Here is a 20,544-nt window from a genome sequence, read left to right as displayed (position 1 = left end):
TTGTATAGTTTCCAAAATTCCTTATGTTTTTGATTTCAAGTTTTATTTCATTGTGTTCAGAGAAGATGCTTGATATTACTTCATTTATTTGAATATTTTAAGACTTGTATTGTGAACATATGGTCTGTCTATACTGAGGAGAAGAATGTGTATTCTGTAGCCATTGAATAAAATGTTCTGCAAATATCTAGTGAGTTCATTTGTTTTATGGTACAGATTAAGTCTAATATTTCTTTGTTGATTTTATGTCTGGAAGATCTGCCTAATACTAAAAGTAGGGTATCAAAGCCTCTAGCTATTATTATATTGGGATCTGTCTCTCTCTTTAGCTCTAATAATATTTGCTTTATACATCTGTGTGCTCCAAAGCTGGAGATATAGCTATATTTATATTATCTATATATCTATATTTAGACATATATATCTATATAATAGACATATATATCTATATAATAGACACATATATCTATATATAGACATATATCTCTATATAGACATATATATCTATATAATAGACATATATATCTATATATATAGACATATGTATCTATATATATAGATATAGATAGGTATATTTTTACAATTGTCATATCCTCTTGCTGAAGTGGCCCCTTTATTATTATGTAATGTCCTTGTTTGTCTCTTCCCATAGTTTTTTTTTCTTGAAATCTATTTGTCTGATTACCCTAAGTTACTCCTGCTCTTCCTTGGTTTCCATTGGAATAACTTTTTTCCATCCCTTCATTTTCAGTTTATAGGTGAAGTGTGTTTCTTGTATGCAACAGATCACTGGGTCTTCCTTTTTTTTATCCATTAAGCCACTCTTTGTCTTTTCACTGGAGAGTTTAGTCAATCTACATTCAACGTTATTGACAAGTAAAGACTTACTCTTGCCATTTTGCTATTTGTTGTCTGGTTGTTTTGTGTTCTTCTCTTCCTTCTTTTCCTTCCTTCCTGTCTTCCTTTTAGTGAAGGTGATTTTCTCTGGTGGTACGCTTTAATTTCTTGCTTTTTTGTGTATATATCCATCATATGTTTTTCTCAATTTGAGGTTACCATGAGGCTTGCAAATACTATCTTATGACCCATTGTTTTTAAACTGATAGCAGTGATTGCAGAAACAACCTAACAAGCAAAAAGGAAACTAATAAAAACTCTACATTTTAACTTCATACTACACTTTTTAACTTTTGTTATTTTTCTTTATGTCTTACACATGCAGTCTATGTCTTGAAAAATTGCCAAAGTTTTTATTTTGATTGGTTAATCATTTGGTCTTTCTACTTATGAATAATTTACACACCAAAATTACAGTGTTACACTATTCTGTGTTTTTCTGTGAGCTTACTATTACCATTAAGTTTTGTACCTGCAGATAATTTCTTACTGATCATCAGCAGTGTACTGGAAGCTCAGGTGAAACCCTCAGGCTCTTTGTTTCTTCCCCAGACTGAGGAAAGCAAGGGCTGAGCCATTGCTGTGGCACTGGCACGGGGGCTGTCAGTTGCCACTGGGAGTACTTCCCCAGGGAAACACAGAGCCACTACTAGTGGGTATGCTCAACAATGGGTGGGGAAGCTGCTCTGTGGTCCTGAGCCAGGGCCTTGACTGTTGAAGAGTTGGGGGTGGGAACTCGCAGGGAAGAGAAATTGGGCTCCTCTCCATATGGTGGCTACAGTGTGCTGGAGATGCCAGTGTAGTGCTTAGGCCATTTGTTCCTTTCTCTGCCTGAGGGCAGTTAGGGCAGTACCACTGCAGCTGCAATGGCAGAAGGGTTGTGGGCTGTCTCTGGGATTTTCTTCAAAGAGAAATGCAAAGCTGCCAGATGGAGTATTTTTTCTAAGATGGAGTCATTTATGTCAATGGTGTTCTACACAGGACAGGAACCTGCAGGTGGGGTAAAGTGGGGAATTGGAGTAATGGAGAAAGAGAAGTGAACAGGAACATCCAAGTCCATGATACTGTCAGTCAGCCTGCCTAGGGTCCTCTCTGCCTGTCTTCATCCTTGTCCTCCCCACACTCAAAGCCTCCTGATAGTGCTCATGTCTATCCCCAGAGGGCAGCGACCATCCTCAATTGTTCTGTCTTCCTGATGGGCAGACCACATGGGCTAAAGTAACATTTCAAGAAACTAGATCTAGACATTTAAAGTTCCTCTACACAGAATGTATTCCTCTCTGAGTTGCTGCTACATCACTGCCTGAGCTGCCCTCTCTCACTGGCTCAGTCCCTCCATGGTCTGCCCTTCCTGTTCCTGCAATCCTTACATTTCACTGAACCCAGCAGTCTGCTAATACCACTGCCCTCTTCTCACACCCTAGCCTGTGCTACAGACACACTTTTTTCTCTTCTCTTTCCTTTTTCCTGTTTGCTTGCCTCACTTCTCATTCTTCAGAATCTCTTCTATTGTTCCTCTTCCTATAGAATTTTGGTTCAGATTCAGAACTAGAACTTGAGAGAGTTAATAGTGTCTGTCTGCCTCTTGAGATGATGTGAGAATTGAGTGAACTAATATACATAAAATGTGTAGTCTAATCATTGTTCAGTAGTACACATTACATCAGCATTTGCTAATAGTGACTGCTTTTTCCAAGTACTTGCAGGAAGTATCATGTGCATCACGTATAAATACTTCATTATTTTATGTCACAAGCATAAAACCAGTGAAAAACTATAGCACTTATCACTTATAATTATCATTTATCACTTATAATTGCACAAGTAGCCAATGAGTAAAGTGACCACAGTGCCAGAGATGAAGATTATGCGTGTTCACACCAACAGGGACTTTCACTCACCAAGGCCAACCTGGCTACGGCTCCCTCTGACGGCTCCATCTGCCAGCATAATTATCTCATAATTATTGAAAATAACTTTTGAACTTTTATAAATGTGGCTATTTGTCTTAAAACACTCCTATGATCATATGTGATGGAATATAAAAGCAAAATACATGAATGAAAGTATTCCAAAATTTCTCTCAGTCAGGCCAAACTCTTCTGAATCACTTTTTAACTCATCTTGTCCACGAGTATTCCTCCATTATCATCATCTGTTAATTAGGACCTTTGATAATGCTACACTTATGGTGAGGGTCATATCAGACTTGGAAAACCAAGGAATACAATTATGTTAGTTGGTTGTTTCTAATGTTGCTAGGCAAAGTGATGAAGAAAAAACAAATTTTGAGATCCATCTTGACATAAGTAGGCTTAGAGGTTCTAAGTGTGCTCTAAGTGAAAATGTAACCAGCAAAAGGGTCCAGCTGCTCACCACTTACAGAAAAAAGCCAAAACAACAAGAGCAAGCTGTGACAGAAAGAGAGTGGGCTTTATATATGTGCTAGCAAAGGGAAGAGTGGGTGGAATTCTTTCCAAAATTTTCCACTTTTCAATTTGTGGAGGGAATATGGAGTTTTTTAGAGAGAGGGGTTTGGAATGCATGAGAAACAAGGAACTAAGAGGTGTCAGGTGATGTAACCCACTCCAGTGACTTGTCTTGAATTATTGTTCCATCTAGCAAAGGGGCCAGCACCATGGTGGGCTCAACCAAGTTACAAATCAATGGCAGTCACTCTTATAGTTAATGTTTAGCCAGGAGTGGGTTCTGGCCTTGAAGTAATCTTTTGTCAGAAAGGGAATTCCGGAGATGTCTGGTCTGTATCAGGACGCAGCCTCTGAAGCTCCTAAAAAAAATATCAGATGAGAGAGCATGGTATGTGCTTAACGAGCATCTAGGTGAATAAATGTGCATAAGGCTTGGGAGCATAAGCCAAGAAAGGGAAAGGGAGCGGAGGCTCACAGCACATTCTGAGACTGTATGTCAAGACGAAAGAAGACGTATTTCTAGTTTTTCTCAAAGCCACATCTTGAGACTGGGAAGAAAGGAGGAACAAAAACATTCTGAGGCTGTGAAACACATCTGTAGTTTGTCTCAAAGCTACATTTTGGGACTGGAGAGAAAGGAGGAAAGAAAAAAAAGTTTTAAAATGCAGTTTGAAGCTAAGTTGCTCTATTACAAGAATAATCTCTCCTGTAGCCACAGGGCCAAAATTGCTAAAATCCAAAGACAAGCCCAAATCACACAATTGGCTAAATTACAATGAAAGTTGAACTCCTGGTCTAGCAAGGGACCTACTATCAATTGAGGGCATTAGTTGGGAAAGAATGGGATCTTGTAAATTGGAATGGAAACCTCTGAAAACACTGATGAGGCTGGAGACATTGAGCTCTGAAATTCTGATGAGTCTCCAAGATAGCTAAATAGGAACAGCTCCAGTCTACAGCTCCCAGCATGAGTGACACAGAAGACAGGTGATTTCTGCATTTCCAACTGATTTCTGCATTTCCAGGTTCATCTCACTGGGGCTCGTTGGACAGTGGGGGCAGGACAGTGGGTGCAGCCCACTGAGTGTGAGGCAAAGCAGGGCGAGGCAAAGGGAAGGGGTGACAGACGGCACCTGGAAAATCGGGTCACTCCCACCCTAATAATGCGCTTTTCCAACGATCTTAGCAAACGGCACACCAGGAGATTATATCCTGCGCCTGGCTCGGAGGGTCCCATGCCCAAGGAGCTTCGTTCATTGCTAGCACAGCAGTCTTCAGATTGAACTGCAAGGCAGCAGTGAGGCTGGGGGAGGGGCGCCCATCATTGCTGAGGCTTGAGTAGGTAAGCAAAGCAGCTGGGAAGCTCGAACTGGATGGTGCCCACCGCAGCTCAAGGAGGCCTGCTTGCCTCTGTAGACTCTACCTCTGGGGGCAGGGGGTAGCCTAACAAAAGGCAGCAGAAACCACTGCAGACTTAAATGTCCCTGTCTGACAACTTTGAAGAGAGTAGTGGTTCTCCCAGCACGAAGTTTGAGATCTGAGAATGGACAGACTGCCTCCTCACGTGAGTCCCTGACCCCCGAGTAGCCTAACTGGGAGGCACCCCCCAGTAGGGGCAGACTGACATCTCACACGGCCGGGTACCCCTCTGAGACGAAGCTTCCAGAGGAATGATCAGGCAGGAACATTTGCTGTTCAGCAATATTCGCTGTTCTGCAGCCTCTGCTGCTGATACCCAGGCAAACAGGGACTGGAGTGGACCTCCAGCAAACTCCAACAGACCTGCAACTGAGGGTCCTGACTGTTAGAAGGAAAACTAACAAACAGAAAGGACATCCACACCAAAACCCCATCTGTATGTCACCATCATCAAAGACCAAAGGTAGATAAAACCACAAAGATGGGGAAAAAACAGAGCAGAAAAGCTGAAAATTCTAAAAATCAGAGCACTTCTCCTGCTCCAAAGGAACGCAGCTCCTCGCCAGCAAAAGAACAAAGCTGGACAGAGAATGACTTTGAAGCCTTCTTCTCTCAACTCATCAGACGATCAAACTTCTCCGAGCTAAAGGAGAAAGTTCAAACCGATCGCAAAGAAGCTAAAAACCTTGAAAAAAGATTAGATGAATGGCTAACTAGAATAACCAGTGTAGAGAAGTCCTTAAATGACCTGATGGAGCTGAAAACCATGGCATGAGAACTACGTGACGAATGCACAAGCTTCAGTAGCTGATTCGATCAACTGGAAGAAAGAGTATCAGTGACTGAATATCAAAGGAATGAAATGAAGTCGGAAGAGAAGTTTAGAGAAAAAAGGGTAAAAAGAAATGAACAAGGCCTCCAAGAAATATGGGACTATGTGAAAAGACCACATCTACGTCAGATTGGTGTACCTGAAAGTGACAGGGAGAATGGAACCAAGTTGGAAAACACTCTGCAGGATATTATACAGAACTCCCCCAACCTAGCAAGGCAGGCCAACATTCAGATTCGGGAAATACAGAGAATGCCACAAAGATACTCCTCGAGAAGAGCAACTCCAAGACACATAATTGTCAGATTCACCAAAGTTGAAATGAAGGAAAAAATGTTAAGGGAAGCCAGAGAGAAAAGTCGGGTTACCCACAAAGGGAAACCCATCAGACTAACAGCGGATCTCTCGGCAGAAACTCTACAAGCCAGAAGAGAGTGGGGGCCAATATTCAACATTCTTAAAGAAAAGAATTTTCAACCCAGAATTTCATATCCAGCCAAACTAAGCTTCATAAGTGAAGGAGAAATAAAATCCTTTACAGACAAGCAAATGCTGAGAGATTTTGTCACCACCAGGCCTGCCCTACAAGAGCTCCTGAAGGACACACTAAACATGGAAAGGAAAAACTGATACCAGCCACTGCAAAAACATGCCAAATTGTAAAGACCATCGATGGTAGGAAGAAACTGCATCAACTAATGAGCAAAATAACCAGCTAACATCATAATGACAGGATGAAATTCACACATAACAATATTAACCTTAAATGTAAATGGGATAAATGCTCCAATTAAAAGACACAGACTGGCAAATTGGATAAAGAGTCAAGACCCATCAGTGTACTGTATTCAGGAGACCCATCTCACGTGCAGAGACACACATAGGCTCAAAATAAAGGGATGGAGGAAGATCTACCAAGCAAATGGAAAACAAAAAAAGGCAGGAGTTGCAATCCTAGTCTCTGATAAAACAGACTTTAAACCAACAAAGATCAAAAGAGACAAAGAAGGCCATTACACAATGGTAATGGGATCAATTCAACAACAAGAGCTAACTATCTTAAATATATATGCACCCAATACAGGAGCACCCAGATTCATAAAGCAAGTCCTTAGAGATCTACAAAGCGACTTAGACTCCCACACAATAATAGTGGGAGACTTTAACACCCCACTGTCAACATTAGACAGATCCACGAGACAGAAAGTTAACAAGGATATCCAGGAATTGAACTCAGCTCTGCACCAAGTGGACCTAATAGACATCTACAGAACTCTCCACCCCAAATCAACAGAATATACATTCTTCTCAGCACCACATTGCACTTATTCCAAAATTGACCACATAGTTGGAAGTAAAGCACTCCTCAGCAAATGTAAAAGAACAGAAATTATAACAAACTGTCTCTCAGATCACAGTGCAATCAAACTAGAACTCGGGATTAAGAAACTCACTCAAAACCGCTCAACTACATGGAAACTGAACAACCTGCTCCTGAATGACTACTGGGTACATAACAAAATGATGGAAGAAATAAAGATGTTCTTTGAAACCAATGAGAACAAAGACACAACATACCAGAATCTCTGGGACACATTTAAAGCAGTGTGTAGAGGGAAATTTATAGCGCTAAATGCCTACAAGAGAAAGCAGGAAAGATCTAAAATTGACACCCTAACATCACAGTTAAAAGAACTAGAGAAGCAAGAGTAAACACATTTAAAAGCTAGCAGAAGGAAAGAAAAAAACTAAGATCAAAGCAGAACTGAAGGAGATAGAGACACCAAAAACCCTTCAAAAAAATCAATGAATCCAGGAGCTGGTTTTTTGAAAAGATAAACAAAATTGATAAACCACTAGCAAGACTAATAAAGAAGAAAAGAGACAAGAATCAAATAGATGCAATAAAAAATGATAAAGGGGATATCACCACCGATCCCACAGAAATACAAACTACCATCAGAGAATACTATAAACACCTCTAGACAAATAAACTAGAAAATCTAGAAGAAATGGATAAATTCCTGGACACATACACTCTCCCAAGACTAAACCAGGATGAAGTTGAATTCCTGAATAGACCAATAACAGGTTCTGAAATTGAGGCAATAATTAATAGCCTACCAACCAAAAGAAGTCCAGGACCAGACGGATTCACAGCCGAATTCTACCAGAGGTACAAGTAGTAGCTGGTACCATTCCTTTGGAAACTATTCCAATCAATAGAAAAGAGGGAATCCTCCCTAATTCATTTTTATGAGGCCAGCATCATCTTGATACCAAAGCCTGGCAGAGACACAACAAAAAAAGAGAATTTTAGACCAATATCCCTGATGAACATCGATGCAAAAATCCTCAATAAAATACTGGCAAACCGAATCCAGCAACACATCAAAAAGCTTATCCACCATGATCAAGTGGGCTTCATCCCTGGGATGCAAGGCTGGTTCAACATATGCAAATCAATAAACGTAATCCAGCACAGAAACAGAACCAAAGACAAAAACCACGTGATTATCTCAATACATGCAGAAAAAGCCTTTGACAAAATTCAACAGCCCTTCATGCTAAAAACTCTCAATAAATTAGGTATTGATGGGACGTATCTCAAAATAATAAGAGCTATTTATGACAAACGCACAGCCAATATCATACTGAATGGGCAAAAACTGGAAGCATTCCCTTTGAAAACTGGCACAAGACAGGGATGCCCTCTCTCACCACTCCTATTCAACATAGTGTTGGAAGTTCTGGCCAGGGCAATCAGGCAGGAGAAAGAAATAAAGGGTATTCAATTAGGAAAAGAGGAAGTCAAATTGTCCCTGTTTGCAGATGACATGACTGTGTATTTAGAAAACCCCATAGTCTCAGCCCAAAATCTCCGTAAGTGGATAAGCAACATCAGCAAAGTCTCAGGATACAAAAATCAGTGTGCAAAAATCACAAGCATTCTTATACACCAATAACAGACAAACAGAGAGCCAAATCATGAGTGAACTCCCATTCATGATTGCTTCAAAGAGAATAAAATACCTAGGAATCCAACTTACAAGGGACGTGAAGGAACTCTTCAAGGAGAACTACAAACCACTGCTCAATGAAATTAAAGAGGATACAAGCAAATGGAAGAACATTCCATGCTCTTAGATAGGAAGAATCAATATCATGAAAATGGCCATACTGCCCAAGGTAATTTATAGATTCAATGCCATCTCCATCAAGCTACCAATGACTTTCTTCACAGAATTGGAAAAAACTACTTTAAAGTTCATATGGAACCAAAACAGAGCCCGCATTGCCAAGACAATCCTAAGCCAAAAGAACAAAGCTGGAGGCATCATGCTACCTGACTTCAAACTATACTACAAGGCTACAGTAACCAAAGCAGCATGGTACTGGTACCAAAACAGAGATATAGACCAATGGAACAGAACAGAGCCCTCAGAAGTAATACCACACATCTATAACCATCTGATCTTTGACAACCCTGACAAAAACAAGAAATGGCTAAAGGATTCCCTATTTAATAAATGGTGCTGGGAAAACTGGCTAGCCATATGTAGAAAGCTAAAACTGGATCCCTTCTTTACATCTTATACAAAAATTAATTCCAGATGGATTAAAGACTTAAATGTTAGACCTAAAACCATAAAAACGCTAAAAGAAAACCTAGGCAATACCATTCAGGACATAGGCCTGGGCAAGGACTTCATGTCTAAAACACCAAAAACAATGGCAACAAAAGCCAAAATTGACAAATGGGATCTAATTAAACTAAAGAGCTTCTGCACAGCAAAAGAAACTACCATCAGAGTGAACAGGCAACATACAGAATGGGAGAAAAGTTTTGCAATCTACTCATCTGACAAAGGGCTAATATCCAGAATCTACAAAGAAAAACAAGTTTACAAGAAAAAAACAAACAATCCCATCAAAAAGTGGGCGAGGGATATGAACAGACACTTCTCAAAAGAAGACATTTATGCAGCCAACAGACACATGAAAAAATGCTCATCATCACTGGCCATCAGAGAAATGCAAATCAAAACCACAATGAGATACCATCTCACACCAGTTAGAATGATGATCATTAAAAAGTCAGGAAACAACAGGTGCTGGAGAGGAGGTGGAGAAATAGGAACATTTTACACTGTTGGTTGGACTGTAAACTAGTTCAACCATTGTGGAAGACAGTATGGTGATTCTTCAAGGATCTAGAACTAGAAATACCATTTGACCCAGCCATCCCATTACTGGGTATATACCCAAAGGATTATAAATCATGCAGCCATAAAGACACATGCACCCGTATGTCTATTGCAGCACTCTTCAAAATAGCAAAGACTTGGAACCAACCCAAATGTCCATCAATGATAGACTGGATTAAGAAAATGTGACACATATACACCATGGAATATTATGCAGCCATAAAAAAGGATGAGTTCATGTCCTTTGTAGGGACATGGATGAAGCTGGAAACCATCATTCTCAGCAAACTATCGCAAGAACAAAAAGCCAAACACCACCTGTTCTCACTCATAGGTTGGAAGTGAACAGTGAGAACACTTGGTCACAGGAAGGGGAACATCATACACCGGGGCCTGTCATGGGGTGGGGATGGGGGGAGTCGGGAGGGAAAGCATTAGGAGATATACCCAATGTAAAAGACAAGTTAATGGATGCAGCACACCAACATGGCACAAGTATACATACGTAACGAACCTGCACATTGTGCACATGTACCCTAGAACTTAAAGTATAATAAAAATAAAAAATAAAAAAGAAAGAAAGAAATTCTGATGAGTCTTGTTTGTCAGAGGAAGTGGCCTCCCGCACACATCCCCATGGCAGTGGCCTTCCCCCCAACAGTGTATGTATAGGCCCTTTCACCTCTGTCTGGGGAAATTAACGCTGCATTGCATGAGGAAAAAGTAATGAGCTTCCCTGAAGCAGTTGCCAAGGAATACAATGTTGCTTCTCTTCAGGCCCTACTCCAGCCACATTTTTTGCTTCCAGACCTATAAGACTCAAGTCCTAGCAGGCCATAAAGGTAATATATGATGCATGACCCATGAGAAGGTGCACCACACTGAAACAAACTACTTGAGTTTTCTAATTTATATAAGCAGAATCTGGGAACATTTGTGGAAATGGATTTTTAGGGTCAGTGTTGAATACAGTAAGAAATTCTTCTTCAAAGGTTTAGCCTTCTTAAATTTCCTTGTCCTTTTTTCCCTGCTTTCAAAGCCAGACTTCCTTACTCTCTGTGTTCCCCCTGCCCTGGTAAACAACTTTCCTGCTGGTCCTTATCTATAGGGCCCACATTCCACATCTGCTACCCACTCTGTGAATTACCCCTCCCATTGCAACAGCTACATTCGCCGAAACTGATCTTCCCACCTTCCTACTGGTATAACTGCATTCCTGCACTTTTCAAGTTAGCCAATTGGGTTTAGCTTACATTGTGTGATCCAACTCCAGCCAATGGAGGCAGGACACAGTAAACAGGGAATGAGCTGCATTAGAGATAATAAAAACCTCTGCTTTCCTCTGTTTGTGTGTGCTCTCACGGTGACCAGACCTACGAGGGGCACCCTCCTGCAGGAGTAAATTTGCCTTGCTGAGAAAATTTATATGCGAGTGGCGCTATTTTCTTTTATTTTGCAGCACTGAAAAATCTCCTTCTAACAGTCAGAATAATGGTGGAGGGAACATAAAGTTGGATGAGGACAAGTTTATCGATATGAGCTCACTAAGCAAATATTCTGCTTCAAATGTCACAGCTTGGGGATTTAGGAATGGTGTTAGCAGTTTGTTGCAACGTTTGGCTGAATTCTAGTTCTAAGAGTGGTTTACCATGAACAAGTTGGAGATGCTCTATCTCTCTTTGTTTACCTTTGAGGAAGGAATTTAGAAACTCGGGGAGAGTGAAATGCTAGAGTGGATTTGTCACTGACCCACACAGAGAAGGTCCAGAAGACATACTTTTTAATGATACTTTGAGAAATAGATTAGTGTGGGAAGCCCCAGTGTGTCTTAAGAACTCTGTGATCTCTCTTCCCTGTAGGCTAGATCTTATAATGGAAACCACAGACCATCACTTAAAATATTTAAGTGCAATGGAAATGTTGGATCTCAGGGGGCCTTGGGGCCAAGTGACAGCAATCAACCTTCAAAGGCTAGTCGGCATTATTATGTAAATGAGCAGCAAAGGCAAAGCAACAATCAAATTGTTCTGACTCCTATGTATCTGTGATGTTTGCTAGTTAGCCATGGTGTTCTTAAAAAGTAAATAGATAGAAAGCTTTCTAAAGGCTTACTTGGTCTGAAGAAGCAGAAAAAATTCAGCTCAAGTAAGCAAAAGTCTAACTGGAGTCATAAAAAAGCACAGAATCATAGCCCCACATTCAATTCTCACACTTCAGCCAGTTTACAGTCCCAGAACTCCTTGTAAGAAACAGCAGCCAGGTCTCCTCAAAGAAGGATGCAGGTACACTACCTACATTTTATACTGTTAATTTTTCTTCTATCCTTCCTTGAAGAGATCTATTATACAAGTTTGTACCACAGTCTATCCACAAAAAAAGGGAAGAGGCAAAAAAAAGTGAAGACAGTTGTTTCCATGTGAATGTCCACCAATGTGTTATCTCAGCAGAGGACGTCTGCAATAATCAAGTGGATGGGATAATGCATTCTGAGATACTTGTTATCCTCTTTCTCCAGCCACACTTGTCATTGCACCACAGGCTAATGAATAAAGTGACCATGGTGTCAGGGATGATCATGCATGCTCACACCAACAGGACTTTCACTCACCAAGGCCAACCTGGCTGTGGCTCCCTCTGAGTGGTCCATCTGCCAGCTGCACGGACCAACACTGAGTCTCTGATATGACACCATTTCTCAGGGTGATCAGCAAACTACCAGTTTTTGGATGATTATGTTGAGTATCTTTCATCAAGAAAGGGGCAGTGTTTTGCCCTTACTGGAATAGACATTTACTCTAGATGTGGATTTTACTTCCTTGAACACAAGATTTCTGCCAAAACGATAATCTGTGGACTAACAGTATGCTTTACTCATCATCGTTGTATTCCACACAACATTAGCTCTAAGGAACTCAAATCACAGCCAAAGTATTGCAGCAGTGGGCTTATGGTCATGAAGCTCACTGGTCTTACTGTGTTCCCCATAATCCTGAAGGAACTAGCTTGATAAATGGTGGAATAGCCTTTGGGACTCACAGTTGCAGCACCTTCTAGGTAACAATACTTTTCAGGGATGGGGCAAGGTTCTCTAGAATCCTGTATATGCCGTGAATCAGCAACCATTATATAATACTCTTTCTCCCCAAACCAGAATTACAGATTTAGGAATCCAGGGACAAAAATGAGAATGGCACCACTCATATTACTCTTAATGTCTCCCTAGTGAAATATTTACTTTCTGCTCCTGGAACAATATGCTCTGCTGGCCTAGAGGTCTTAATTCTAGAGAGAGGAATGTTGCCACTAAAGACACACCAATTAGTTCATTGAACTGAAGGTTAAGACTGCCATTCAGCCACACTGGGCTCCTCATGTTATGAAATAACAGGTGAAGAAGTGAGTTGTAGTGTTTGTTGGGGTAACTGATCCAGACTACTAGGGGAAAATTGAACTAGTACTCCACAATGAAGGTATGGAAGAATATGTCCAGAATACAGGAGATCTCCTGGCACCTGCTGTGGCTGGAATATTTGTCTTTCACCAGACTCATTTTAAAAGTTAATCCCCAGTGTGGCAGTATCAAGTGGTGGGACCTTTAAGAGGTGATTGGATGGATAATGAGTGTTCTGCTTTCCTAAGTGGATCGTCTGTTAGACTAGGCAGATGGACAAACATGAACAGAAAAGGCGGCCCTGAGAAGTGCAGTCCTGGCAAAGGAAGCCTTCGAAACTTCACTCCACTAGGAACCAGTGCCCACTGTCAATCAGAAGAAAACAATAGCCACTTCTGGACTTGTGGTTAGGCTTATCTGGCCCTAAACTGGGACTTACCTGGACCTAATGGGAGGTAACTTCAGTAGGGACTTTCCCCAGTAGCAAGCATGTGCACTTCCCTCTTGTCACCCTAAAAGTGGCCTTTTGCTCATTATAATAGTAAAAAATACACCCCTGACTGGAGATTTAAGATGCTAATATGACATGCGATGCATGTACGAGCACATTTGGCCACAAGGCATGTGCACCCAGGAGACCACCCAAAACATGCTTGCTAGTAACAGCCCTTTATACACCTTTCATGAATAATCATGTAAGACTCCCCATAAAGCAGCTTCCCCAGTGCTAATATTCGCTGTCTCCTTTTTCTAGCAGCCTGTCCTGACTCAGCTTTCAGAGTGTACTGCCGCTTTAAATACACCTTGTTACTTTTTTTTTTTTTTTTTTTTTTTTTTTTATACAGAGTCTCGCTCTGTTGCCCAGGCTGGAGTGCAGCTGCAGGATCTTGGCTCACTGCAACCTCCGCCTCCTGCTTTCAGGCGATTTTCCTGCCTCAGCCTCCTGAGTAGCTGGGACTACAGGTACACGCCACCATGCCTGGCTGATTTTTGTATTTTTAGTAGAGACAGGGTTTCACCATGTTGGCCAGGATGGTCTTGATCTCCTGACCTCGTGATCCACCTGCCTTGGTCTCCCAAAGTGTTGGTATTACAGGCGTGAGCCATCATGCCCGGCCAAATCTTGTTACTTCTTACCTCTCTTGCCTTAAATTTTTTTCTGTAAAAAGACAGGAAGTGAGGACCCCACACTTCCCAGTAACACATCTATTTATGGATTAATGTGTTAATGGATTAGTGAGTTATCAGGTCAGGGCAACTGGTGGCTTTATAAGAGGAAAAGAGATCGGTCCTACCATGCTCAGCCCTGAGCCAGGTGACACCTGCATGATATGACCTCAGGACTCTTTAGGGAGTCCTCACTACCAAGAGGCTTTCACCAAATGTGGCCCCGCATTTGGTGACTTATTATGAAGACTTATAAGCCTTCATAACTGTAAGAAATACATTTCCTGTTTTCATAAATTACCCAGATTTTGTTGTATTCTATTACATGCAACAGAAAAGAGACTAACACAGAAAACGGGTAATGGGCAGAGGCTGGAAGACTGGAGAAGCAGGCTAGATAAAGCCTACATTGTTGTAAGGGTTAGATACAAGAAGACTAGGAAAAGTTTGGGAGTCCTTATAAATTGGTCAAGTGGTTGTGACAAGACTGCTGTTGACCAAAAAAGTCAAACTCTGTAAAATATTTAGAGAGATTTATTCTGAGCAAAATATGAGTGACCATGGCCCATGACACAGCCCTCAGGAAGTCCTGAGAACATGTGCCCAAGGTGGTTGGGGTACAGCTTGGTTTTATACATTTTAGGGAAGCATGAGACAGCAATCAAATATGTTTAAGGAATACATTGGTTTGTTCCAGAAAGGCAGGACAGCTTGAAGCAGGGTAGGGAGTGGGGGGTGGGGTTACAGGCTATAGATAAATTTAAGCATTTTCTGGTTGACAATTGGTTGAGTTTTTTCCAAGGACCTGGGATCAATAGAAAGGAAATGTTCAGGTTAAGACAAAAGACTTTGGAGACCAAGGTTCTTTTGAAGTCTCATAGCCATTGCACTTAGAGATAATAGATGACAAATGTTGCCTATTCAGACTTTAAAAGGTGCTACACTCTTACCTAATCTATTCAGAATTGGAAGGGCCTGACAGACAAAGGTCGAGGTATAGAGATTATACCTCGATATAGAGGTTAATAGAGATTCTTTACAGATATAGATATAGAGGTTATAGATATAGATTATATTATATTATATATATAGAGGCTAACATATAGATATATATTAACCTCTATAGATATAGAGGCTAATAGAGATTCTTTACAGACGTGAATTTTCCTCCACAAAGGATGGCTTGCAGGACCATTTCAAAATGCAACAAAGAAACATGTTTTTGGAGTAAAATATTTTGATTTTCTTCCTTCTTTTGTAATGTTATGCCACAGTCAGGTTGGAAAGTAAGTCACGATATACAGGGTCAAATAAAACCCATCTGATGAGAATTTATCATTTGTAGGGCATGACTCCCCAGACCTTTTAGATAGGAATTTGGGCAAGATAAAAAAATCAGAGTTTAGTCCTCACTGCTGATAGAAATACTGACATAAGGGCCATTCTGACAAAATGTCAGATGAAACTAAAAAACAAGATATTAGTAACTGCAGTAAAGGCCATCCCTGTTTTGATTGGGTAAAGAACGGCTGACCTGTATCCGTGACCAAGGGCTTTGTGAGAGGCCTAACTACTTAATGATGAACTAGGGAATCTGGAAGAAGAAGTTTCTAAGCAGCAAAGTGTTCAGTCCATCGTGTGTTTACTTCCAAATGCTTCATGTGAACTGATAGAGAAAAGAAAAAAGACAAGAAAACAATTAAAAAATGTTGTAGCCTGCCCATGTGGTAGAGAATAAAAGAGCATTTCCAGGAGAAAAACCCAAGTGTTTGGCAGAGCCACAGCTTGCCAGAGATTAGCGTGGCTAAACGGGAGCCAGGTGTTAATAGTCAAGACAACGGGAAGGAGGTCCCACAGCATTTCAGTCATTTTCAGGCTGCCCTCCCATCACAGGCCCAGGGGTTCTGGAGGACAGGATGGTTTCTGTGGACAAATGAAGGCACTGCCCTGTGCCAAGTCAGGATGCTGCTCCCTGCATTCCAGATGTTTTGGGTAAAGTAGCCTCAGGTGGGGTTTGTGCCCCAGCTCTTGGATGTAAAAGTCCTAAACCTTGGAGATGTCCCTGTGGTGCTAATTCTGTAGGCTTACAGAAAGCAAGAGCTTTGAAGACTTGGCAGCCTCCACAATTTTCTTTCGATTTCTTTGCAAGCCTGGGAACCGAGGCTGAGACTTGTCACAGGGCAGAGCCACTGCAGAAAGCCCCTAATAGAGCAATGCCAAGTGCCAACGTGGGCCTGGAGCTGCTACAAAGAGTTCCCATCAGGGAAATCCCTAGTGAAGCCATGGAAATGAGGTCACCACAGACATTCCTCACTAAGTTAATGATTAGTGGACTAGAGGAAGTAGTACCACTACCAGGACCCCAGAATTGTGAAGTCACCTACACTATGTAATGCCTGTCTGGGAAACCTTTAAGTACAATCAGTAAAAACAGCTGAATGAACTGCACCAAGAAAATCCATAAAGGTGATGCTGCCTGAGACATTGTGGGGTCCAACCTCCACTCCAGTATATTCAGGAGGTAGAACATTAAGTCACCCATTTGGAGATTAGTTTTCAGTTAAGGAAATGATATGGGTGCTGTATTAGTCTATTCTCATCCTGCTAATAAACACATACCTGAGACTGGGTGATTTATAAAGGAAAGAGGTTTAATTGACTCACAGTTCAGCATGGCTGGGGAGGCCTCAGGAAACTTACAATCATGGAAGAAGGGGAAGCAAACACGTCCTTCCTCACATGGTGGCAGGAAAAAGAAGTACTGAGCAAAAGCGGGGAAAGCCCCTTTTAAAACCACCAAATCTCATGGGAACTCACTCACTATCACAAGAAGAGTAGCATTGGGTTAAGTGACATCATGATTCAATTACCTCCCACCAGGTCTCTCCCATGACAGTGGGGATTATGGGAACTACAATTCAAGATGACATTTGGGTGGGGACAAAGCCAAACCATATCTTTCCAGCCTTGGCCCCTCCCAAATTTCATGTCCTCATATTTCAAAACACAATCATGCCTTTTGAACAGTCCCCAAAAGTCTTAGCTCATTCCAGGATTAACCCAAAAGTCCAAGTCCAAAGTCTCATCTGAGACAAGGCAAGTCCCTTCCACCTATGAGCCTGTAAAATCAAAAGCAACTTAGTCACTTCCTAGATACAATGAGCGTACAGGCATTGGATAAATACACCTGTTCCAAGTGGGAGAAGTTGGCCAAAATGAAGGGCCAGTAGCACCTGCAGCATGTGGGAATTATGGGAACTACAATTCAAGATGACTTGGGTGGGGACACAGCCGAACAATATCAGGTGCCAAGTGGAAAAGTGATGGGCTTGGGATGGTTAATTTTATGTATCACACTGACTGGATTAATGAATACCAAGAGAACTGGTAAAACATTACTTCTGAGTCTGTGAGTGAGGAGTTTGGTGTGTGCGTCATTTGACTGAGGGGTAAAGATCCACCACCAAGAAAAACAAGCACCATCCAATCTCCTTGAGGCTAAATACAACCAAAAAGGCAAAATTTTTTTCCTGTCTCTCTCTCCTGGAGGAGGGATATTTCTTTTCCTGTCCTTGGACAACAGAAATCAAAGATGTCTGCCCTTGAAACTCAGGGCTTACTCAGATTTTTAGGCTTTTGGCCTTAAATTGAGAATTACCTCAAGGGCTTCCATGGTTCTGAAGATGTGATGTTGGACTGGGCCACATTACCAGCATCTTAGGGTCCTAAGCTTACAGATGACCTGCCTTGGGACTTTTCAGCCTCTATAATCACATGAGCCCATGCCTAATAAATTGCCTCTATATCTATCTATCTATCTACCTATCTATCTCCATCATCTATTGGTTTTGTATCTCTGAAAAACACAGATTATACACCAATAAATGCTTCAGCCTGCTGGTCCATCATGCATTTTTCTCTCTCTTTGCTCCCCTTGACCCCTGCTGTTTGGGAGTGTTTGTTTCAGAGAGTTCTCCCCTTCCCATTGGCCCTCCAAAGAATGCTGCCCTCTTCTCTCCAGGATCTGTTAGTCATAAACTGAGGGATATTTCATGCCTTTTGTTGTGTTGTCTCTTAGGTGTCTCACTTGACCAACATACTTGGACCTCACGTTTTTGTCCCCCTCAGTACTCTTAAAGAATGTCTACCTTGGTAGGAATAAACTGAACATGGGTCAGAAAGGAGCCATAAGGATGTATTCCAATATAAATGGGTATTCTGTGAGAGAGAAACCTGGTTACAGGTCAGACAATTAGACATTAGGCCATCCACCAGCATAAATAAGCATCCCATGAAAAGCATACCGTGAAAATTCAGTACTAAACCCTCGAGTCCTGTTGGGCAGGGCTATAGTTTATAGCCATGATGCAGAGAGAAACCTCAAAAGCAAACAAGAAATGACAGAAATAAAACAAATATGGTGAGATAATTAGTCTATAGTTCAAGTTATACATTGAGGAGGAAGATAGACATGGCACTGAGTTACATGAAAGTTTGTATTGCTTTCTAAAAACAGAAAAATCTGTAGCAGGAGAATTCCAGTCCTAATCAAATAAATATGAACAATGATACCTAAAAATTACAGTCCAACTCAAATATTTATTTATTTGAGACAGGGTGATGCCATTTTGCCCAGGCTGCAGTGCAATGGCTATTCACAGGTGCAACCATAGCAAACTATGACCTCAAACAGCTGGTCTCAAGTGATCCCTCTGCCTCATGCTTCCTAGCAGCTGGGACCACAGACACGCTACCACGCCTGGCCAGATCCTATTCTTAAATCCAGAAAAGTTGCATAACTATAAATTTTTCTTTCTCAGTTGTCTTTATGATCATATAGATGATAATCATACAAACCACTTTATAAATAGTCAAGGCAAGTGTAGATGCATTATGGTATTCATAAAATATTCTGCTCTGGGCCAGGTGCAGTGGCTCACGCCTGTAATCCCAGCACCTTGGGAGGCCGAGGCAGGTGGATCACGAGGTCAGGAGATTGAGACCAGCCTGGCTAACATGGTGAAATCCCATCTGTACTAAAAAATACAAAAAATTAGCCAGGCATGGTGGCAGGCGCCTGTAGTCCAGCTACTTGGGAGGCTGAGGCAGGCGAATGGCATGAACCCAGGAGGTGGAGCTTGCAGTGAGCCAAGATCATGCCACTGCACTCCAGCCTGGGTGACAGAGTGAGACTCTGTCTCAAAAAAAAAAAAAAAAAAATTTTCTGCTCTGCCCCCTTGTTACTCTGGCAAACTCTAGTTTCGGATAATTGAGAAAATAAACGGGCTTTGGTACTCCTTAAATAATAGAGTAAATGAAAAATAAATTCATATAATTCATAATTTATAATGTTTACTATATTTGCACCCAGAGGTTAAGGTTCCAGGAAGAGTCAATTAAGTTTAGACCAAGTTATGATGTCAGATACTCGAATTATGTCTCTACTCTTTAATTTTGAAATAAATTTATATTTACGGAAAGTTAAAAAATATTATATAGGATTTCATCTACCCTACAACTTCCTTTAATGTTGACAACTTATATAACCATAGATAGAATATGTATGAAAACATGGAAATTGATAAAGGTATAAAACTACTAACTAAAGTACAGACTTTATTCATATTTTACCAGGTTTTCTACTGATGTCATTTTTAAATTTTTGGATTCACTCCAGGATAACACATTACACTTACTGTCAGATGCATTACTTATTTATTGCACCATAGCCAGTTGCCACATAACTCAGAGGCTAAAAAAACCACACATACATATTACTCACAGTTTCTCTGGGTCAGAAATCCAGATGTAGATGTTGCTGAGGACTCACCTGAAGGATCAGCTGGGGAGGGATCATCTTCCAAGCTTATAGTGGTTGTTAGGAGTCAATTGTTGCCCAGGTAGAGAAGACCTCAGTGGTAACTTTCTCTTGACCCATTAAAAACTTAATAATGATCCTTCATTAATTCTTCATAAAAGAAAATAAAAACAACAGAGGAGAGATTACTGCCTAATGCATTCTATGAGGCAGATTACTCTGATATTACAACTAGACAGAGATATTTTAAGAAAGGAAAATTGTAGGCTGGGCATGGTGGCTCACATCTGTAATCCCAATACTTTGGGAGGCTGACGTGGGTGAATCATCTGAGGTCAAGAATTTGGGACCGGCCTGGCCAATATGGTGAAACCCTATCTCTA

At 41.1% G+C, this 20,544-nt stretch overlaps 1 annotated feature.

Moving 5' to 3' along the window:
• Window positions 11,530–12,036: an enhancer, noted in NCBI's record as "NANOG hESC enhancer chr15:24877390-24877896 (GRCh37/hg19 assembly coordinates)". NCBI's record gives its function as "activates a minimal SCP1, AML or CMV promoter by ChIP-STARR-seq in naive H9 embryonic stem cells {active_cell/tissue: H9 hESC(naive)}" and the evidence as "EXISTENCE:reporter gene assay evidence [ECO:0000049][PMID:30033119]".

Source organism: Homo sapiens, chromosome 15, assembly GCF_000001405.40.
Source record: "Homo sapiens chromosome 15, GRCh38.p14 Primary Assembly".
Lineage (NCBI taxonomy): Eukaryota > Metazoa > Chordata > Mammalia > Primates > Hominidae > Homo > Homo sapiens.
This window is presented reverse-complemented; position numbering and strand designations above follow the sequence as displayed.